At 39.9% G+C, this 19,990-nt stretch overlaps 1 long non-coding RNA gene across 1 annotated transcript in view; it reads right to left on the reverse strand.

Moving 5' to 3' along the window:
* Nucleotides 1-19,990, reverse strand: part of CIBAR1-DT (CIBAR1 divergent transcript) — a 353,967-nt gene that overhangs the window by 49,606 nt on the left and 284,371 nt on the right. The gene's annotated exons all lie outside the window — the stretch shown is intronic.

The raw sequence follows: 19,990 nt of genomic DNA on the forward strand, positions 1-19,990 counted from the left end.
GCTTGAGGACAGGAGTTAGAGACCAGCCCTAGCCAACATGGTAAAACCTCATCTCTACTAAAAATACAAAAATTAGCCAGGTGTGGTGGCGGGTGCCTGTAGTCCCAGCTACCCTGGAGGCTGAGGCAGGAGAATTGCTTGAACCTGGGAGGAGGAGGCTGCAGTGAGCCAAAGTCACGCCACTGCACTCCAGCCTGGGTGACAGAGCGAGCCTCCATCTCAAAATAAAATAAAATAAAATAAAAATATTCTTTACGGCTTAAAAGTTTTTATTGTTGCTTCTTTTGGGGTCTGAAGATGAGATTTGAGCTTAAATTATTTCAGCTGTTAAATATTCAAGAGCTGTATACATTTTCTCGTTTTGGTTTAAAAAGTTATTTTCAATAGCTCAACTAAAGCATTTCTAACAAATATTACAGAACCTGGAACCTTGCTTGTTTATGGTACTCTGTGAAAAAGATATTCTTCTCCAGTTTGAAAGTGTCAGAGGATACTTTTATGATTGCAAATATTATAAGGTGAGTAAGCATGTGAGTCAAGCATTTCTCTACATTTTATATATTTTCTACCCGGGGTTTGATTTATGATACACATGTGGCCTGCGACCAAACTCTTACTTCTTTGAACAGGAAATTAATAAATGTCTATTAACTTGAAAAGAAAAATCTAGGGCAAAAGTGAAAGTACTTAGCAAGATGATTCCTCCGACCAAAAGCAATAAAAGAAAAAACACTCTTGGCATAGTAAGTCCTCCAAGTAAATTCTAATTTATGCTATTAATTCAACTTACTATCACTACATTCTAACATTATTATTTATTAAACACCTAATATGACCTTAATAAGCTTGATAAACATAATAAACTTAATAAACACTGTCACACAACATGATTTCAAGTTTTCTTTATGATTACCCTACAAGGTTGATAGCATTATTCCCAATTGAACGATGTAACTGAGGCTCAGAGGGTCATGTACCATGACCAGGGGTGCTTCAAAAGTATGTGATCTGTGCAGTCACACAGGCCCCTACACTAGGAAGAACGCTGTGCTTGGTTTAATGCTCTGATGCTGTCACCTTAAAATTCTTACTAAGTTTTGAACAAGAGCACATTTTGCCCCGAGTCCCACAAATCACTTATTAGACATTAATATTATTTTTCCTCCACTTTTTTGGAATTGTCGTTTGCAAACAAGCAGCAAATCTGCAAAAGATATTAAAATAACCAGTTCCCATCTATTCTACTGCCTCCACATATTACCCTTTGCCTCACACACTCATGTACAAATTCATACAAATGAGAGTAGTCTGTGCTTGTTATCTGGATAGAGTAAGGCTCTATGAAACACATGCTGAACAAATAAATAAAATGTCATTTATGCTTCAAAAAGGAAAAAAAGTTCTTAAAGTAATCTTATCATCTACCAAAAAAGTTTATCTGATGTTCTGCAACACAAAATAAATAAAACCAATCTGGAAATTCTGGTAAAGTTTACCAACTCTCCTCTGTCTCCAGTCTGCCTACCCACTTTCTCTTCATTTTCAAAAGTTATATGCTGGCCTTTTGGTAGAGCATGCTATGTTTTGGAACAATGTCTTATGAGGCTATATTCTATGTTAGGAAAATCATTAGAGATCATCATTCTAGTCTCACTTCTTTCCCAATGTAGCCATCTTTCAAAATATTCCATTTACAGGGTATCCAGCCTCTACCAATATAAGTTATTTTTATTTTGTATCATCTACATAATATTTCTTTCTCTTCCTCTCTCTTTTCCTCCCCTTCTTTCTCCTTCTCTCTTTCCCTCTCCCTTTCTCTCTCTTTCTCTTTCTCTCTTTCACACACACACACACACACACACACACATTTCACAAATAAGCTTTCAATGCATTTTCTGTAAATTTCTAGCCTCTTATTGTCAATGGGATTTTGTGTCTGGAATTAGGACCATCACCATGAATTCACAAGCAACTAACAAGTTCCCTAAGTCAGCAACTATCAGATCTGTTGCAGAAATCCTACCAGACATGATTTCTGGAGGACAGCCAAGGGGGCTGGGAATCTGTTGTGAGTCAGCCAGACTGTTTTCACTGAGCACATCTGATTCTACAAACACTTAAGATCATCTATCTCCTTCACCCAGAGCTTGCAACTTGCCAGCAGGAATAAATAGGGAGGCACAGGCCCCCAGCCTGAGCCTGAGGGTTATGGTTTCTGGGCAGAATCAAATCATGGGCTTTGACTTTCTTTCCTCCTGAAGGATAAAAATGATTCAGGCTGAAGCAGCTGACAAATATGGAAATCATTAACAGACTAAACTGTACACAACAACCAAAGTATTAAGAAATATCAGTAAACAAAATAACCAGTACTTCTGATCCTCAAAGTCCCTGAACTGAGAAACAGGGCCAAGACTCTTGGCCATCCCCTGATCCAAGTCTCTCATTCTGCATGTCAAGAGGATACTGTTCAAGATTACACAATTGCTTGCAACCAAGCAAAGACTCTATCTAGATGTCCTTCCTGCTTGCCCAGTCATCTCCCCACCAACAAATGCTGGTTCCCTCTTTCCTGCTGCTTCCCAAGACACCACTTCCTTCCTGGCCTTGTTTTCCATTCTATCTTGGCTTCTACCCACAGCCTAATTCCAGGGGTGAGAAGGACACTGCAATCTGAGCCTTCCATGGGACCCACGTGTCAAGTACGGGGAGAGAAAGACTGTAGTTTTCCTACTGCCACTCTCCTCTTCCCTCAGCATTTTGTTTCATGTTGCCATTTTAACATTAGTAGTGGCTGCTATATTCATACTTCCTTCCAGTTAATCTATGAATATGGAAATGAGGACCCCAGTATCGAAATAAAGACTTAGTCCACCTATCTCAGGGATAATCTATACTTCTCCACATACTTTAAAGCTTTAGACATGCATGAGGTTACTTCATTGGTTGCCACAGTGAGTGGAAGACACTACCAGCACTTAGTGGATAGGAGCCAGGGATTCCAGGCACCTGCAATGCCCAGAACAGTTCCTTGCAGCAAATCATCCTACTCAAATTGTCAACAGCATTCCATTGAGAAACACTGCCAGAGCTGGCTACCTAAGACAGAATCCCCTTTCTTCCTCTCTGCTGCATGCCTCAGTTGGACTGGGGAGGCAGGATAGAATAGAAAAATCATCAGAGTCCAGGCAGGGAGCTAAGCTTCCCAACACAGTACCTTCAGTGACAACTGGCCTCGGATAAGTCCTAACTACTCAAGACTATTTTTTTTTCTTGTCTCTCTCTCTCTCTCATCATAAAATGAGAACACTAACATCTAATTGCAAGCATTACGTGAAACTGTACATAAAATCACAAAGCACCTATTAGTGTAAAAAAATGTAGAGAATTTTATTCACCACATTTCCTATGGAAGAAAATTAGAGAAGAACGGATGATGCTTCATGGGGAAGCTGCAAGAAGAGGGTATCCCAGTGGGGGCTGAAGCTTAGACTTTTAGAAGACTCAGAGCGTGTGTGTGGTTTTAGGTGTGTGGGGATAAGGAGCAGTAGAAGGGGAAAGTATCAACAAAATATCGTAAGCCATGCAATGTAATCCCAACATCTTCAAGAGAAGTACTAGAAAAACATCATACTGTGAGGTTAGGTGTCTTGCGGACACTTGCAGAGGGTAAATTTTACATCAGGACAGCTCAGAAACAGAACCTGTGTGGTGGCAGGATAAGAAAACTTGAGGTAGAAAGTGGTATTAACCAGGATGTAAAATCTGCTGACTCCAACCCAGTTCACCTGAATTTCAAAGGCATAAAGAAATGGCAGGTGACAGCCAGGTCAAGTAGGTACTGAAAAATGTTTTTAAAACTAAGGCTAGACTCTCTCATTCCCCTACCCCACTCTGAAACAGATCCTCAAACTTACAATTGGTCAGTATTTATTGAGAGCTCTCTCTATAGGTAAAACATTGCAGGGACTAAAAGGAACTTGACATCATGTTCTCAGATATGGTGGTTTAAAGAATGGGCTTTGAGGTCAAATACATCTGCATGCAGTCCGCGTCTGCCTTTTCCTAGCAGCTTAATCTCAGGTATTTCAATGTAAGTCTGACTCCCAATATTCTCATCTGCTAAATGGCAACAAAAAGAGTACCTATGTCAGAATGTGGTGAGAGGACATCAGATAATCCCTGTAAATGTGTGCTATTATTAATGGTACCTCGTGGGGCATATGACTCCATAAATAGCTGCTAAAGTAAAAGGAACTAAAATGAATTTAAATTTCCACATTTTTGTCCCCTTTGAATTATTACAGTCATGTGCCACAGTCACCTATGATGGAGATAAATCTGAATACAGCATGAGACATGAAAGACTCATTTTGTAAGCCCATTGATTCCTTGATATATATTTTTTTTGCTGCAATCCCAACACAATATTTTTTTAGAAATGAGAAGCAGGATTCCATTAAAAGAATGTTTTGCAATCATGTAAATGCACAGAACTCTACTACTCTTAAACTACTGAAAACAGCCTCTTCCCTGAGAATTGAGAAGGCTTGGTGCTTCCACATTCCAGTCAGTGTCTGGCATAACATGGGTATTGTATTAATGTTTGCAGAATGAATACTTTGAATGGCTACTCTAGCTAGTGAGATACTTCATGCTGATGAGCCTGCTTCCTAATGTTTAGATGCTAAATGCTTTCATTCTATTTTGTAGTAAGTATTATAGATAAGTCTAGATAAAATTAGCTGATAATGTGTGGGACTCAAATATGTTATAATATTTCCTCTTTCCTCTAATGGATAGAATTATGCCATTATACCTGAATCCAGCCATTAAATTATCTTACTTGAACATAGAAATTTTCGCTTTGCATGAAGACCATAAAAAGCTAAAAGAGGAGTTGCAGCATCTCATCAAATAATGTTCTCTCAAACTCTGTGTACATACCCATAGGCTTCACCAATAGTGCTGTCCTAATGAGAAGGTGATGGTTTAAAGATGACCAGTTTTCTGCAAACAAGGCACCAAAATGTCCCCCATGCTTAGTCAATCTTTAGACTATAAGTTCAATGAGGGTAGCTGTAGACTGTGTCTATTTTGTTAATTACTGTATCCTCAGTGGCCAGCACGATGTCTGGAAAGTAGGAGGAGCTCAATCAATATTTTTAGAGTAAATGATTCCTGAACTCCAATCTAATTATTTTGAACAGCACCTAGGCAGTTACTCTGGGTGGGGACATGGGCCTCCTCACCAGTGTTTTAGGGGAGCTGCTGCCTAATGTCATTGTTAAGGTATTGAGCACTTCAGCCTTGGGAAAGGAACAGCAAGGACCATTTTTTAATCCCACTGCCAAGAAGCCTTGACATCTTTGAAACATGAAAAGACAGTTGCCAAACAGCGAAAAGCAGCGTGAGCACCAGGCAGAAGCTCATCTTTCTGACCAGGAATCTTAATTTACCTCAGTTGAGACTAATTTGTGGAGAGGAACTTCATTCTAACTTTCAGCCAAATTTCATACTGAAAGGATGCTGCAGGCTAGTGAGGATCCACAATGCAGAAAGTTGTTAGAGAATCATCAACATGGCTGTGCACTTTGTTGCTTATATCACCCATGGATATCAATAATCATATGAAACAATGATGACAGTGGACATTTACAGAGCACTTACCACATGCTGGGAACTCTAAGTCCTGAATATGTATTGTTCCATGAAATACACACTAAAACACCGTGACGTAGATACTAGTATTCCCATTTCTCAGTTGCAATAACTCACCATTTAAAGAGCATAAGTGGTTCAACTGGGGTCTTACAAATGTGTTAAGAGAAGAAGTCAGGATTTAGATCCCAGCCTGCCTGTTTCCAAAGGCTCTTGATGACTAGGTGAATTTCTTGTTAAATTAATACCTCATGACTTCTCTCCACCTTCTCTCTGAAAACTTAGATGAAAACCTTCAAGACAAATAAGAGTACATCTGGACATTGCTGTCTCTCTCTCTCTTTTTTTTTTTTTATCCATTTCTACAAGTGTTCGCATGACCTAGACTGTGAAAAGTTTCAACTATAATGAGTGCCCAGGGCCAGTCACACAAGAATTCTCACACAGGATAGATAGAACAAGATGGTATAACCATGTTTATAAAGTAAGAGTTTCCTTCATCAGCCATTGCTCTAATAGAGCAAATAAAGCATTTTCCATTAAAAGATCTGGCAAGTTATTATTCACTTCTCTGATTCTCATAGGTGGAAGGAGCATGGGCTTTGGACTCACAGACGTATCAGGACTCCTGGGGACCCACCAGTAACAAAGAATGAGTGAGCTATAATTCATTCCACCCACTGCAATGGAGTCATCAGGTGTTTCTGTATTCATTCATGAAGTACAGAGATGATCTACATCTGTGCTGCCCAAAACAATAGCCACTAGCGATATTTGGCTATTAAATTAATTAAATGTAAATCAAATTAAAAATTCAGTTCTTCAGTTATACTAATCACATTTCAAGCACTTGTGCATATGGCTAATGGCTACTATATTGGACAGTACAGATCTAGACCATTTCTAGAACATCCTAATCATCACAGAAAGTAACATTGGACAGCATCGGTCTAGATTTAAAAAAAAAGCAAGAGAGAGAGCAAACTATTGGTTTTCAAACAACTCTGTTATTTAAAGGAAGAGGGGTCATATGTTTCAGTGTTAGTTTTAATTTGGGGGTTGTTGTTTTCTAATGGGTTATATTAGTCAGGAATCATTTGATTACAAGGGAAAAAATTGAACTCAAAAATAGCTTAAGCAAAATAGCGAATTTCTTTGTTTCTATAACTGAAAAATATAGAAATAAAGCCCAGCTGGATCAGGGGTTCAAATATATCATTAAAACAATATCTTTCCATCTCTCAGCTCTACTTTCTATGTGGCTTTCTTCTTGGGCTGGCTTTATTCATATGGGGGCAAAGATGGCTCCTGATAGACTCAAGCTCATATGGTTCTTAAAACCCACAATCTCAAATTTGACCTTGTGTATCAGTTTCTCATTGGTTTGACCCTAATCCATATGGAAATGTTTATTAAAGTACTGCTGCTATTCATCACAGACTTCACTATTATCCCAGCATAATAGAAGAGGCATTATCATTACGTATTGAGAAGACAACAGTTTGTGTCTGAATCCTTGTTATCAAACAGTTTGTGTTTGAATCCTTGTTATCTTCTCAATATGTAATGATAATTACAGTCCAGTCCAGACTGAAATTCCAGTCCAGACTCTCAAATTTATGAGCTGTATGACCTTTGCCACATCTAATCATTTCTCTATGCCTCGATTTTCTTATCTTAAAATGAGGATAAATAATAACGCTAATCTTACAGGGTCCGTTGTTTTTGTTGCTGTCGTTTTGAGACAGGGTCTCACTCTGTCACTCAGGCTGGAGTACAATGGTACGATCTTGGCTCACTACAGCCTCCACCTCCTGGGTTTAAGTGGTCCTCCCATTTCGGCTACCTTAATAAACATTTCCATATGGATCAGGGTCAAACCAATCAGAAACTGATATAGAAGTTCAAATTTGAGATCGTGGGTACTAAGAACCATATGAACTTGAGTCTCTCCTGAGTATCTGGGTCTACAGGCACACACCGCCACATCTAGCTAAATTTTGTATTTTTTGTAAACATGGAGTTTCACCATGTTGCCCAGGTTGGTCTTGAACTCCTGGACTCAAGCAATTTGCCCCTATGAGGCCCGTTCTGAGGATAAATGGGATAATTCATACAAAGTGCTTAGCACAGTGTCAAACAAATAGCAATCACACTATTGAGGCTAGCTATTATTGTCACTATTATTATTCTTAACCATACAAAGCAGTGCAAAATAAATATCCAATGACTAGAGAAAACACTAAGTGTTCCAGGAATTAGGAAAGTGAGCAACCGCTGCAGCCTTGTGTGTTCAAGAAGGGCTTCATAGAGAACACAAGATGTGAACAGGGTTTTGAAGCAGGGGCACACAAGCAGAAGGGAGGGATTAGAGCCCTTCTCATCACAGCATCCAAGAAACTAATGCCTGTGTCTCTGAAGCCATGTTTCCTACAAGGGAATAGGAGGCAGGAGATGGTGCAGGCTTTTCTTTACCCATCATCTGCAAAAAACAGTTGAGAGGCAGCATGTTTTTCTTAAAATGTTAATAATAAGAGCACACCAAAACTGAATCTGAGAAGCCAGGCGTGACTCATCTGCCATTCCTGTACCCCTGAGTTCTCAGCACTGCTGGTGCCTGATGGTGATGAGGTCTTCCCAGAGGGGTGAGCCTGAGCAGACTGTACGGGAAGGCTCGGCGCATCTTCCAAATGCCTCTGTCTGTCCAGTGGGGGTGGAGGCCTCCTAACAGCTGCTGCACTGCTTTGTAAACAAGTGGGGAACATACTTCTTTAAACTGGAATCCTGCAGCTGAAAAATATGTTTACCTCTCCAAGGATTTGGTTGGAAATGCTTCAAAGATTTCTGCTTTTCCCAGAAAGCTGGAGCTCAGTATGAAGCAATGTGCTTCATCTCTGAGAACGCTGCTCTCCTTGGGTGAGAAGAACAGGATTTTCCAGCTTGACAGTAAATAACTTTCTGACTTGGGCAAAAGGATGGGACCAGATTACCTCCAAGGTAGATGAAATGCCATTTAGCTCATGTGCAAAGTAATTGTGAAGAAAACGCTCCCATCCAAGGTAGGGGCGGGCATTGTGCAGGAGATAGGCACATTTCCAGAGCATGTTGTGATGTTTGGATCAGTTCCAGAGACCACTGCCAAGGCCTGCCTCTGGGCAGCTGCAGCTTTAGGGGGGCCTAATCATCCCCCACCCATGCCCCACTACAGCCTTGTATGTGTGCTTGTGTGTGTGTGTACACATGCGTGCACCAGCCAAAAACATTAATTAGCATGTGCTTTCTGTATTAGAGCTTAAAAGCCATCGGGGCAGCTGTTGTCTAGAAGCCAAGGAACTAAATTCAAGTCACAGCTCTGTCAATTGGCCATATGACCTCTGCCAGGTCATCTCACCCCTCTGAGCTTTGAGTTCTTCATTTGTAAAGGAAGATGATAATATCTGAACCAATTAACTCAGGGTTTCAATGAAGATACAAATTAAAATGAGATGATGTACTGGAAAGTCTTGCAGCAACCCTAAAGCCCCGCTTCTCAAGGTCTGGATCACAACCCAGCAGCGCTGACTTCCTCTGGGAGCTTGTTATAAATGCAGATTCATGGGCTCAACCTCAGACTTACTGAAATAGACCCTGCATTTTAACATGATCCTCAAGGTAATCAATATACACTTTCAAGGGACTGCTCTAAAGCACTATAAGACAGATTTAGGAAATTGTTCTAAAGCTGAACAAAGCCCAAACCACTCTGGGTTTCCAAAATTTCCACTACACAACTGCTTTCCTGAGCCAGCACTGCTTCCTTGGCAGATCGGACATTCTCAGAGAGCAGCAACACTGTCATTGATCAATTCTCTGGGATGCCCAGCACAATAGCATTCTTATACAAGATTGATGGCACTATATATATATATATATATATATATATATATATATATATGTATATATATATATATATGTATATATATATATATATGTATATATATATATATATGTATATATATATATATATATATATGTGTATATATATATATATATATGTATATATTTTAAACTTTACCCTGGCTTGAAAGACACTACACGCAGGGGAGGAGCCAAGATGGCCGAATAGTAACAGCTCCGGTCTACAGCTCCCAGCGTGAGCGACGCAGAAGACAGGTGATTTCTGCATTTCCATCTGAGGTACCGGGTTCATCTCACTAGGGAGTGCCAGACAGTGGGCGCAGGCCAGTGTGTGCTCGCACCGTGCGCGAGCCGAAGCAGGGCGAGGCATTGCCTCACCTGGGAAGCGCAAGGGGTCAGGGAGTTCCCTTTCCGAGTCAAAGAAAGGGGTGACGGACGCACCTGGAAAATCGGGTCACTCCCACCCGAATATTGCACTTTTCAGACCGGCTTAAAAAACGGCGCACCACGAGACTATATCCCACACCTGGCTCAGAGGGTCCTACACCCACGGAATCTCGCTGATTGCTAGCACAGCAGTCTGAGATCAAACTGCAAGGCGGCAACGAGGCTGGGGGAGGGGCGCCCGCCATTGCCCAGGCTTGCTTAGGTAAACAAAGCAGCCGGGAAGCTCGAACTGGGTGGAGCCCACCATAGCTCAAGGAGGCCTGCCTGCCTCTGTAGGCTCCACCTCTGGGGGCAGGGCACAGACAAACAAAAAGACAGCAGTAACCTCTGCAGACTTAAGTGTCCTGTCTGACAGCTTTGAAGAGAGCAGTGGTTCTCCCAGCACGCAGCTGGAGATCTGAGAACGGGCAGACTGCCTCCTCAAGTGGGTCCCTGACCCCTGACCCCCGAGCAGCCTAACTGGGAGGCACCCCCCAGCAGGGGCACACTGACACCTCACACAGCAGGGTATTCCAACAGACCTGCAGCTGAGGGTCCTGTCTGTTAGAAGGAAAACTAACAACCAGAAAGGACATCTACACCGAAAACCCATCTGTACATCACCATCATCAAAGACCAAAAGTAGATAAAACCACAAAGATGGGGAAAAAACAGAACAGAAAAACTGGAAACTCTAAAACACAGAGCGCCTCTCCTCCTCCAAAGGAACGCAGTTCCTCACCAGCAACAGAACAAAGCTGGATGGAGAATGATTTTGACGAGCTGAGAGAAGAAGGCTTCAGACGATCAAATTACTCTGAGCTACGGGAGGACATTCAAACCAAAGGCAAAGAAGTTGAAAACTTTGAAAAAAATTTAGAAGAATGTATAACTAGAATAACCAATACAGAGAAGTGCTTAAAGGAGCTGATGGAGCTGAAAACCAAGGCTCGAGAACTACGTGAAGAATGCAGAAGCCTCAGGAGCCGATGCGATCAACTGGAAGAAAGGGTATCAGCAATGGAAGATGAAATGAATGAAATGAAGCGAGAAGGGAAGTTTAGAGAAAAAAGAATAAAAAGAAATGAGCAAAGCCTCCAAGAAATATGGGACTATGTGAAAAGACCAAATCTACGTCTGATTGGTGTACCTGAAAGTGATGGGGAGAATGGAACCAAGTTGGAAAACACTCTGCAGGATATTATCCAGGAGAACTTCCCCAATCTAGCAAGGCAGGCCAACGTTCAGATTCAGGAAATACAGAGAACGCCACAAAGATACTCCTCGAGAAGAGCAACTCCAAGACACATAATTGTCAGATTCACCAAAGTTGAAATGAAGGAAAAAATGTTAAGGGCAGCCAGAGAGAAAGGTCGGGTTACCCACAAAGGGAAGCCCATCAGACTAACAGCTGATCTCTCGGCAGAAACCCTACAAGCCAGAAGAGACTGGGGGCCAATATTCAACATTCTTAAAGAAAAGAATTTTCAACCCAGAATTTCATATCCAGCCAAACTAAGCTTCATAAGTGAAGGAGAAATAAAATACTTTATAGACAAGCAAATGCTGAGAGATTTTGTCACCACCAGGCCTGCCCTAAAAGAGCTCCTGAAGGAAGCGCTAAACATGGAAAGGAACAACCGGTGCCAGCCGCTGCAAAATCATGCCAAAATGTAAAGACCATCGAGACTAGGAAGAAACTGCATCAACTAACGAGCAAAATCACCAGCTAACATCATAATGACAGGATCAAATTCACACATAACAATATTAACTTTAAATATAAATGGACTAAATTCTGCAATTAAAAGACACAGACTGGCAAGTTGGATAAAGAGTCAAGACCCATCAGTGTGCTGTGTTCAGGAAACCCATCTCACGTGCAGAGACACACATAGGCTCAAAATAAAAGGATGGAGGAAGATCTACCAAGCCAATGGAAAACAAAAAAAGGCAGGGGTTGCAATCCTAGTCTCTGATAAAACAGACTTGAAACCAACAAAGATCAAAAGAGACAAAGAAGGCCATTACATAATGGTAAAGGGATCAATTCAACAAGAGGAGCTAACTATCCTAAATATTTATGCACCCAATACAGGAGCACCCAGATTCATAAAGCAAGTCCTGAGTGACCTACAAAGAGACTTAGACTCCCACACATTAATAATGGGAGACTTTAACACCCCACTGTCAACATTAGACAGATCAACGAGACAGAAAGTCAACAAGGATACCCAGGAATTGAACTCAGCTCTGCACCAAGCGGACCTAATAGACATCTACAGAACTCTCCACCCCAAATCAACAGAATATACATTTTTTTCAGCACCACACCACACCTATTCCAAAATTGACCACATAGTTGGAAGTAAAGCTCTCCTCAGCAAATGTAAAAGAACAGAAATTATAACAAACTATCTCTCAGACCACAGTGCAAACTAGAACTCAGGATTAAGAATCTCACTCAAAGCCGCTCAACTACATGGAAACTGAACAACCTGCTCCTGAATGACTACTGGGTACATAACGAAATGAAGGCAGAAATAAAGATGTTCTTTGAAACCAACGAGAACAAAGACACCACATACCAGAATCTCTGGGACGCATTCAAAGCAGTGTGTAGAGGGAAATTTATAGCACTAAATGCCTACAAGAGAAAGCAGGAAAGATCCAAAATTGACACCCTAACATCACAATTAAAAGAACTAGAAAAGCAAGAGCAAACACATTCAAAAGCTAGCAGAAGGCAAGAAATAACTAAAATCAGAGCAGAACTGAAGGAAATAGAGACACAAAAAACCCTTCAAAAAATCAATGAATCCAGGAGCTGGTTTTTTGAAAGGATCAACAAAATTGATAGACCGCTAGCAAGACTAATAAAGAAAAAAAGAGAGAAGAATCAAATAGACACAATAAAAAATGATAAAGGGGATATCACCACCGATCCCACAGAAATACAAACTACGATCAGAGAATACTACAAACACCTCTATGCAAATAAACTAGAAAATCTAGAAGAAATGGATACATTCCTTGACACATACACTCTCCCAAGACTAAACCAGGAAGAAGTTGAATCTCTGAATAGACCAATAACAGGCTCTGAAATTGTGGCAATAATCAATAGTTTACCAACCAAAAAGAGTCCAGGACCAGATGGATTCACAGCCGAATTCTACCAGAGGTACAAGGAGGAACTGGTACCATTCCTTCTGAAACTATTCCAATCAATAGAAAAAGAGGGAATCCTCCCTAACTCATTTTATGAGGCCAGCATCATTCTGATACCAAAGCCGGGCAGAGACACAACCAAAAAAGAGAATTTTAGACCAATATCCTTGATGAATATTGATGCAAAAATCCTCAATAAAATACTGGCAAACCGAATCCAGCAGCACATCAAAAAGCTTATCCACCATGATCAAGTGGGCTTCATCCCTGGGATGCAAGGCTGGCTCAATATACGCAAATCAATAAATGTAATCCAGCATATAAACAGAGCCAAAGACAAAAACCACATGATTATCTCAATAGATGCAGAAAAAGCCTTTGACAAAATTCAACAACTCTTCATGCTAAAAACTCTCAATAAATTAGGTATTGATGGGACGTATTTCAAAATAATAAGAGCTATCTATGACAAACCCACAGCCAATATCATACTGAATGGGCAAAAACTGGAAGCATTCCCTTTGAAAACTGGCACAAGACAGGGATGCCCTCTCTCACCGCTCCTATTCAACATAGTGTTGGAAGTTCTGGCCAGGGCAATCAGGCAGGAGAAGGAAATAAAGGGTATTCAATTAGCAAAAGAGGAAGTCAAATTGTCCCTGTTTGCAGACGACATGATTGTTTATCTAGAAAACCCCATCGTCTCAGCCCAAAATCTCCTTAAGCTGATAAGCAACTTCAGCAAAGTCTCAGGATACAAAATCAATGTACAAAAATCACAAGCATTCTTATACACCAACAACAGACAAACAGAGAGCCAAATCATGAGTGAACTCCCATTCACAATTGCTTCAAAGAGAATAAAATACCTAGGAATCCAACTTACAAGGGATGTGAAGGACCTCTTCAAGGAGAACTACAAACCACTGCTCAAGGAAATAAAAGAGGACACAAACAAATGGAAGAACATTCCATGCTCATGGGTAGGAAGAATCAATATCGTGAAAATGGCCATACTGCCCAAGGTAATTTACAGATTCAATGCCATCCCCATCAAGCTACCAATGACTTTCTTCACAGAATTGGAAAAAACTACTTGAAAGTTCATATGGAACCAAAAAAGAGCCCGCATCGCCAAGTCAATCCTAAGCCAAAAGAACAAAGCTGGAGGCATCACACTACCTGACTTCAAACTATACTACAAGCCTACAGTAACCAAAACAGCATGGTACTGGTACCAAAACAGAGATATAGATCAATGGAACAGAACAGAGCCCTCAGAAATAATGCCACATATCTACAACTATCTGATCTTTGACAAACCTGAGAAAAACAAGCAATGGGGAAAGGATTCCCTATTTAATAAATGGTGCTGGGAAAACTGGCTAGCCATATGTAGAAAGCTGAAACTGGATCCCTTCCTTACACCTTATACAAAAATCAATTCAAGATGGATTAAAGATTTAAACGTTAGACCTAAAACCATAAAAACCCTAGAAGAAAACCTAGGCATTACCATTCAGGACATAGGCGTGGGCAAGGACTTCATGTCCAAAACACCAAAAGCAATGGCAACAAAAGCCAAAATTGACAAATGGGATCTAATTAAACTAAAGAGCTTCTGCACAGCAAAAGAAACTACCATCAGAGTGAACAGGCAACCTACAACATGGGAGAAAATTTTCGCAACCTACTCATCTGACAAAGGGCTAATATCCAGAATCTACAATGAACTCAAACAAATTTACAAGAAAAAAACAAACAACCCCATCAAAAAGTGGGCGAAGGACATGAACAGACACTTCTCAAAAGAAGACATTTATGCAGCCAAAAAACACATGAAAAAATGCTCATCATCACTGGCCATCGGAGAAATGCAAATCAAAACCACTATGAGATATCATCTCACACCAGTTAGAATGGCAATCATTAAAAAGTCAGGAAACAACAGGTGCTGGAGAGGATGTGGAGAAATAGGAACACTTTTACACTGTTGGTGGGACTGTAAACTAGTTCAACCATTGTGGAAGTCAGTGTGGCGATTCCTCAGGGATCTAGAACTAGAAATACCATTTGACCCAGCCATCCCAATACTGGGTATATACCCAAATGACTATAAATCATGCTGCTATAAAGACACATGCACACGTATGTTTAGTGCGGCATTATTCACAATAGCAAAGACTTGGAACCAACCCAAATGTCCAACAATGATAGACTGGATTAAGAAAATGTGGCACATGTACACCATGGAATACTATGCAGCCATAAAAAATGATGAGTTCATGTCCTTTGTAGGGACATGGATGAAATTGGAAACCATCATTCTCAGTAAACTATCGCAAGAACAAAAAACCAAACACCGCATATTCTCACTCATAGGTGGGAATTGAACAATGAGATCACATGGACACAGGAAGGGGAATATCACACTCTGGGGACTGTGGTGGGGTCGGGGGAGGGGGGAGGGATAGCATTGGGAGATATACCTAATGCTAGATGACACGTTAGTGGGTGCAGCGCACCAGCATGGCACATGTATACATATGTAACTAACCTGCACAATGTGCACATGTACCCTAAAACTTAAAGTATAATTAAAAAAAAACAAAAACAAAAACAAAAACAAAAACAAAAACAAACAAACAAAAAAAGACACTACAGGATGACCTGGCCTTCTGTTAGACCCCTTTCCCTCCCTACACCCCTGCCACACAGGCCTCCCTGCCTGTCCTCAAATATGCCTGGCAACTGGCAACTCCTCAGGGAGAGCCTTCCACTGCTATTCCCTCTGCCTGGAGTGGTCTTCCCCACAGACCTCAATTGCTCATCTCCTTGAAATCTTGGCTCAAATGTTACCTTGTCAGTGATGCTCTCCCTATCTCCTCTATTTAACATTGCAACATTCCCTTTTACTCAAATATCCTTGTCTCCACAGCACTTACCACTTTATAGCACACTATATACTTTATTGATTATGTTTTATTATCTTGCCCTTTCCCACCTCAAAATAGAATATAAGGTTAGGAAGGTAGGAATTTTTTTCCATTTTGTTCACTGCTGTGTACCCAGCTCCTGGGACAGTCCTGGCGCCCAACTGCTTGATATTTATTGAATGAATGAATGTACAGGAGAATGGCTTTGAACATGCACTGTGTAATCAGATAGATTTGGGCTTGAATTTCAACTCTGTCACTATTAGCTGTCTGACTCTAGGCAAACAGTGCATGTTAACAGTTGTGGTACAGTGCCCAGCATATAGGAAATGTCTCTTTTTGTTTAGCTATCATTATTAAAACATAATTATGATTATCACTGAATATAAGCTTCATTCTTCCAAGAGAATGGTGATAAATTATAATTTATTTTAACTAATAATCAAACTTTTAAGGAATATGCCACATAGATCAAAACAGGACTAAGGACTGTGATTCATTTGCCAGCAGCCAATTCTTTTTGCATCAGTAAAAAAAAAAAAAAAAAAAAAAATGGTATGCATGAACACCCTTCATGAAAAGAATAAAGCTCCCTATCTTCCTTTTAGGGGAAAAGTTAGGAAATACTGGTTTCTATTATTTTTCCAAATAAAATATAACATCGGACATTGGACAAGCATAAACTTGAGCTAAACATCAAGGAATCACTTTATAGTAGCATTGGACTGTGAAACCAACCAGATGAGGAGGTGGCTCTCCCAAATGATGAGTCACTTAAACATACAGGAAGAAGAACTAGAAACTTTTTCCTGTATGTCCTCTAATACATTGCAAATATTTATAAAATAAATGGCAAGTGTCTGATGATATTAAATTACCCAGGTATTTTTCTTAGAGGTAAGAATTACATATAAGTAGACAGCATTTAATTCTATTGGTTCAACCTTTTGGCTCTGAGCAACACCCATTTTATCTCTAGTAAAATATTTGTGTGAGAAAATATATGTCTCAGAAACTCAATTCCAATTTCTCTGAAATGTGGGAGTTGGATCAGTTATTATCTAAGCCTCCTTCTGGCTCTAACAGTCAGAGACTCAATGACGTAGGGAATCTTGTTTTCCCATATCCCCCACTCTGACTCCATCCAATTCATCACAAAGTTCTGGTGATCTGACTCTAAATTATAGTTTAAATCAGTCTACCTTTATGGTAATCACCTTGGTATTTACTCACCTGGACTAACTCAAGAGCTTCCTAACACACACTCTGACACCTCTCCAACCTTTACACCCACAGAGTAGCCAGAGTGGTCCTTTTATAACAAAAATTTCATTCTCTTTATTTCCCTGCTGTATTAGTCCGTTTTCATGCTGCTGATAAAGACATACCCAAGACTGGGTAATTTACAATGAAAAGACATTTAATAGACTCACAGTTCCATGTGGCTGGGCGGGGCCTCACAATCATGGCAGAAGGTGAAAGGCACATCTTACATGGTGACAGACAAGAGAGAATGAGAGCCAAAGGAAAGGGAAAACCTCTTATAAAACCATCAGATCTGATGAGACTGATTCACTACCACGAGAACAGTATGGGGTAAACTGCCCCCATGATTCAATTTTCTCCCACTGGGTCCCTCCCACAACACGTGGGGATTATGGGAGCTAATATTCAAGATGAGATTTGGGTGGGGACACAGCCAAACGATATCACCTGCTTAAAACCTTTTGATAATTTCCTGTTGCACTTAATATAACATCTCAAAATCTTCACATGGATAATAGATGAGATGCCATCTGGCAAGGGCTCTCCCTGCCTCCTCTCCCCTCCTTGCCATCAGGCCACACTCTGCTTTCCAGGTTCTCAGCTGCATTGTGGTCATTCACACGCATTGATTCATCTGCATGCCTACTCTGACCCTTCAACCTCACAAAAAAATGTCTCCTTCTCAAAGAGGGCTTCTTGGAGTCCTCATTGTAAATTTCATTCCTCCCCATTCTTTCACTTCATGACACTTGTCATGATCTCCAGATATGCATCCCTTTATGTGTCTCTTTGCTCCCCGTCCCTGTCTCTTTTTATATGCTAAGCTCTTGGAGGACAAGGGCTATGTTTGATTTGTTCATTACTGTATAACTAGCACCCAGCAGAACTCCTAGCATACAGTTGGCAATCAACAAATATTTGTGGAATAAATAAATAGATGAATGAAGAGTATTAGCAACTCTATGAAGGGGAAGGCAAGAATATGAGTGTTCTTTACGTTAACATCCTATGAAGTAATTTTAAATAACATACACAATGCAATTTGAATTCATAAGAATTTATTAAATCCAAGGTATTATGTTTTGCTTTTATATAATTAAAAAATCATTGTTCATAGATTAACCCACCAGTAGCATTTTACTGGGAAAAAATATTGTGAAGTTCTGCTTAAGGTTTTACACAATAATGGTTGTATGAACCAAATGATAAACTTAGTATTAAAAGATATGGATTCATGTTTTATGACTCAAACACTATGATCATAGTATTATTGACCATGTGACATTAACCAAGCCATTTAGTAAACAACTGTGTGCTTAATAACCATCTAACGTAATTTGGTAAACAATGATTGAGGCTATATCAAACATGTATATTTCTTGTTTTATTGTAATTAACAAATAGAAGACAATACACTGGATTATTGGAAACGAATATACCACAAAGGATGTCCATAGTTTTACAGTACCTTTAAGTATCTGTTAAAGGAGAGCATTTAACTAGTATTACAATTATTAGCAAGAAACTGACCTCAGTATATTTCTTATGTTTTTTTTTTCACCTTTTCTATTCCCCCTCCAGTTAGGTTCCTTGAATTCTAGAATGAGTTAGAAAATGACTAAGTTATAAAATTTTCTCAGATAATGTTGGGAATGTGGTATGGCAAACAGAAGGAAAGAAAACCAAGCCAAGGCTTGGAGACTAAATGAGGTGAAGAGGATGTGGGAATCTACTCTGAAGTAAGCTTCACTAAACGTGAGGATGCAGCCATAGGGCATCCTATGGCAATGAGGATAAATTGGTAGCACATTTCCATGCCCAGATATCTGAAAAATAGAGATAATGATCCCTGGCCCTAGCAACCAATGAGGAATATTGAGAGAATAAATTAGATACAGTTTTCCTTTGCAGGAAAAGCAATATATAATTTATGATATTATTATTATAATCATTAGTCATCTTTGCCTAGATTTATGGAGTGACTCATCCTAAATTAAGCCTTTGGAACAATGAGAAGAGGGAAATTTATGAGACCTACAATGATTTTCTAGTCTCATAAAAGATTGTAGTACTTGATTCTTGAGATGCTGAAATATCTCTGTCTCTTAACAGGATGCTATAAGAACCGTCCTTTGATTCATTATTTGATAAGTCTTTCAAGTCCCCATTCTCTTGCTCCTCTGGGGCTAATAATTCAGCTAGCATTTTAACACTCACCTTGACTGTCAATAAATTATTTTAACTTACCTTTAGAGTATCTGCTTTTTCTCTCCTCTTCCTATGAGAATAACAATTGTTACAATTTTATTCCCCATAATTTATCTACATATTCAGTAAATATTTTTAAGCACCTATAATAGGCAAGGCAATGAGTTAGGTACAGAGATATAAGGAGAGTGAGATCCTTCCCATATCTCGCGGAGCTAGAGAATATAACTAAGGATCAGCTCTGAGAAATATCTTAAGAAAGAATTATCAGGTCACAAAGATTGATCAGATATAGAGTGCAAAAGAGAGGGAAGAATACAGAAGAGGCCAAATTTCTTCTCCAGCTAGACTGGATGGAGAATGGCATCATTAGCCAGATAGGAAACAGATTTGAGAAAAAGACAACCAACTCTGTTTCAGGCTTG

This window comes from Homo sapiens, chromosome 8 (genome assembly GCF_000001405.40).
Source record: "Homo sapiens chromosome 8, GRCh38.p14 Primary Assembly".
In the NCBI taxonomy this organism is placed as follows: Eukaryota; Metazoa; Chordata; class Mammalia; order Primates; family Hominidae; genus Homo; species Homo sapiens.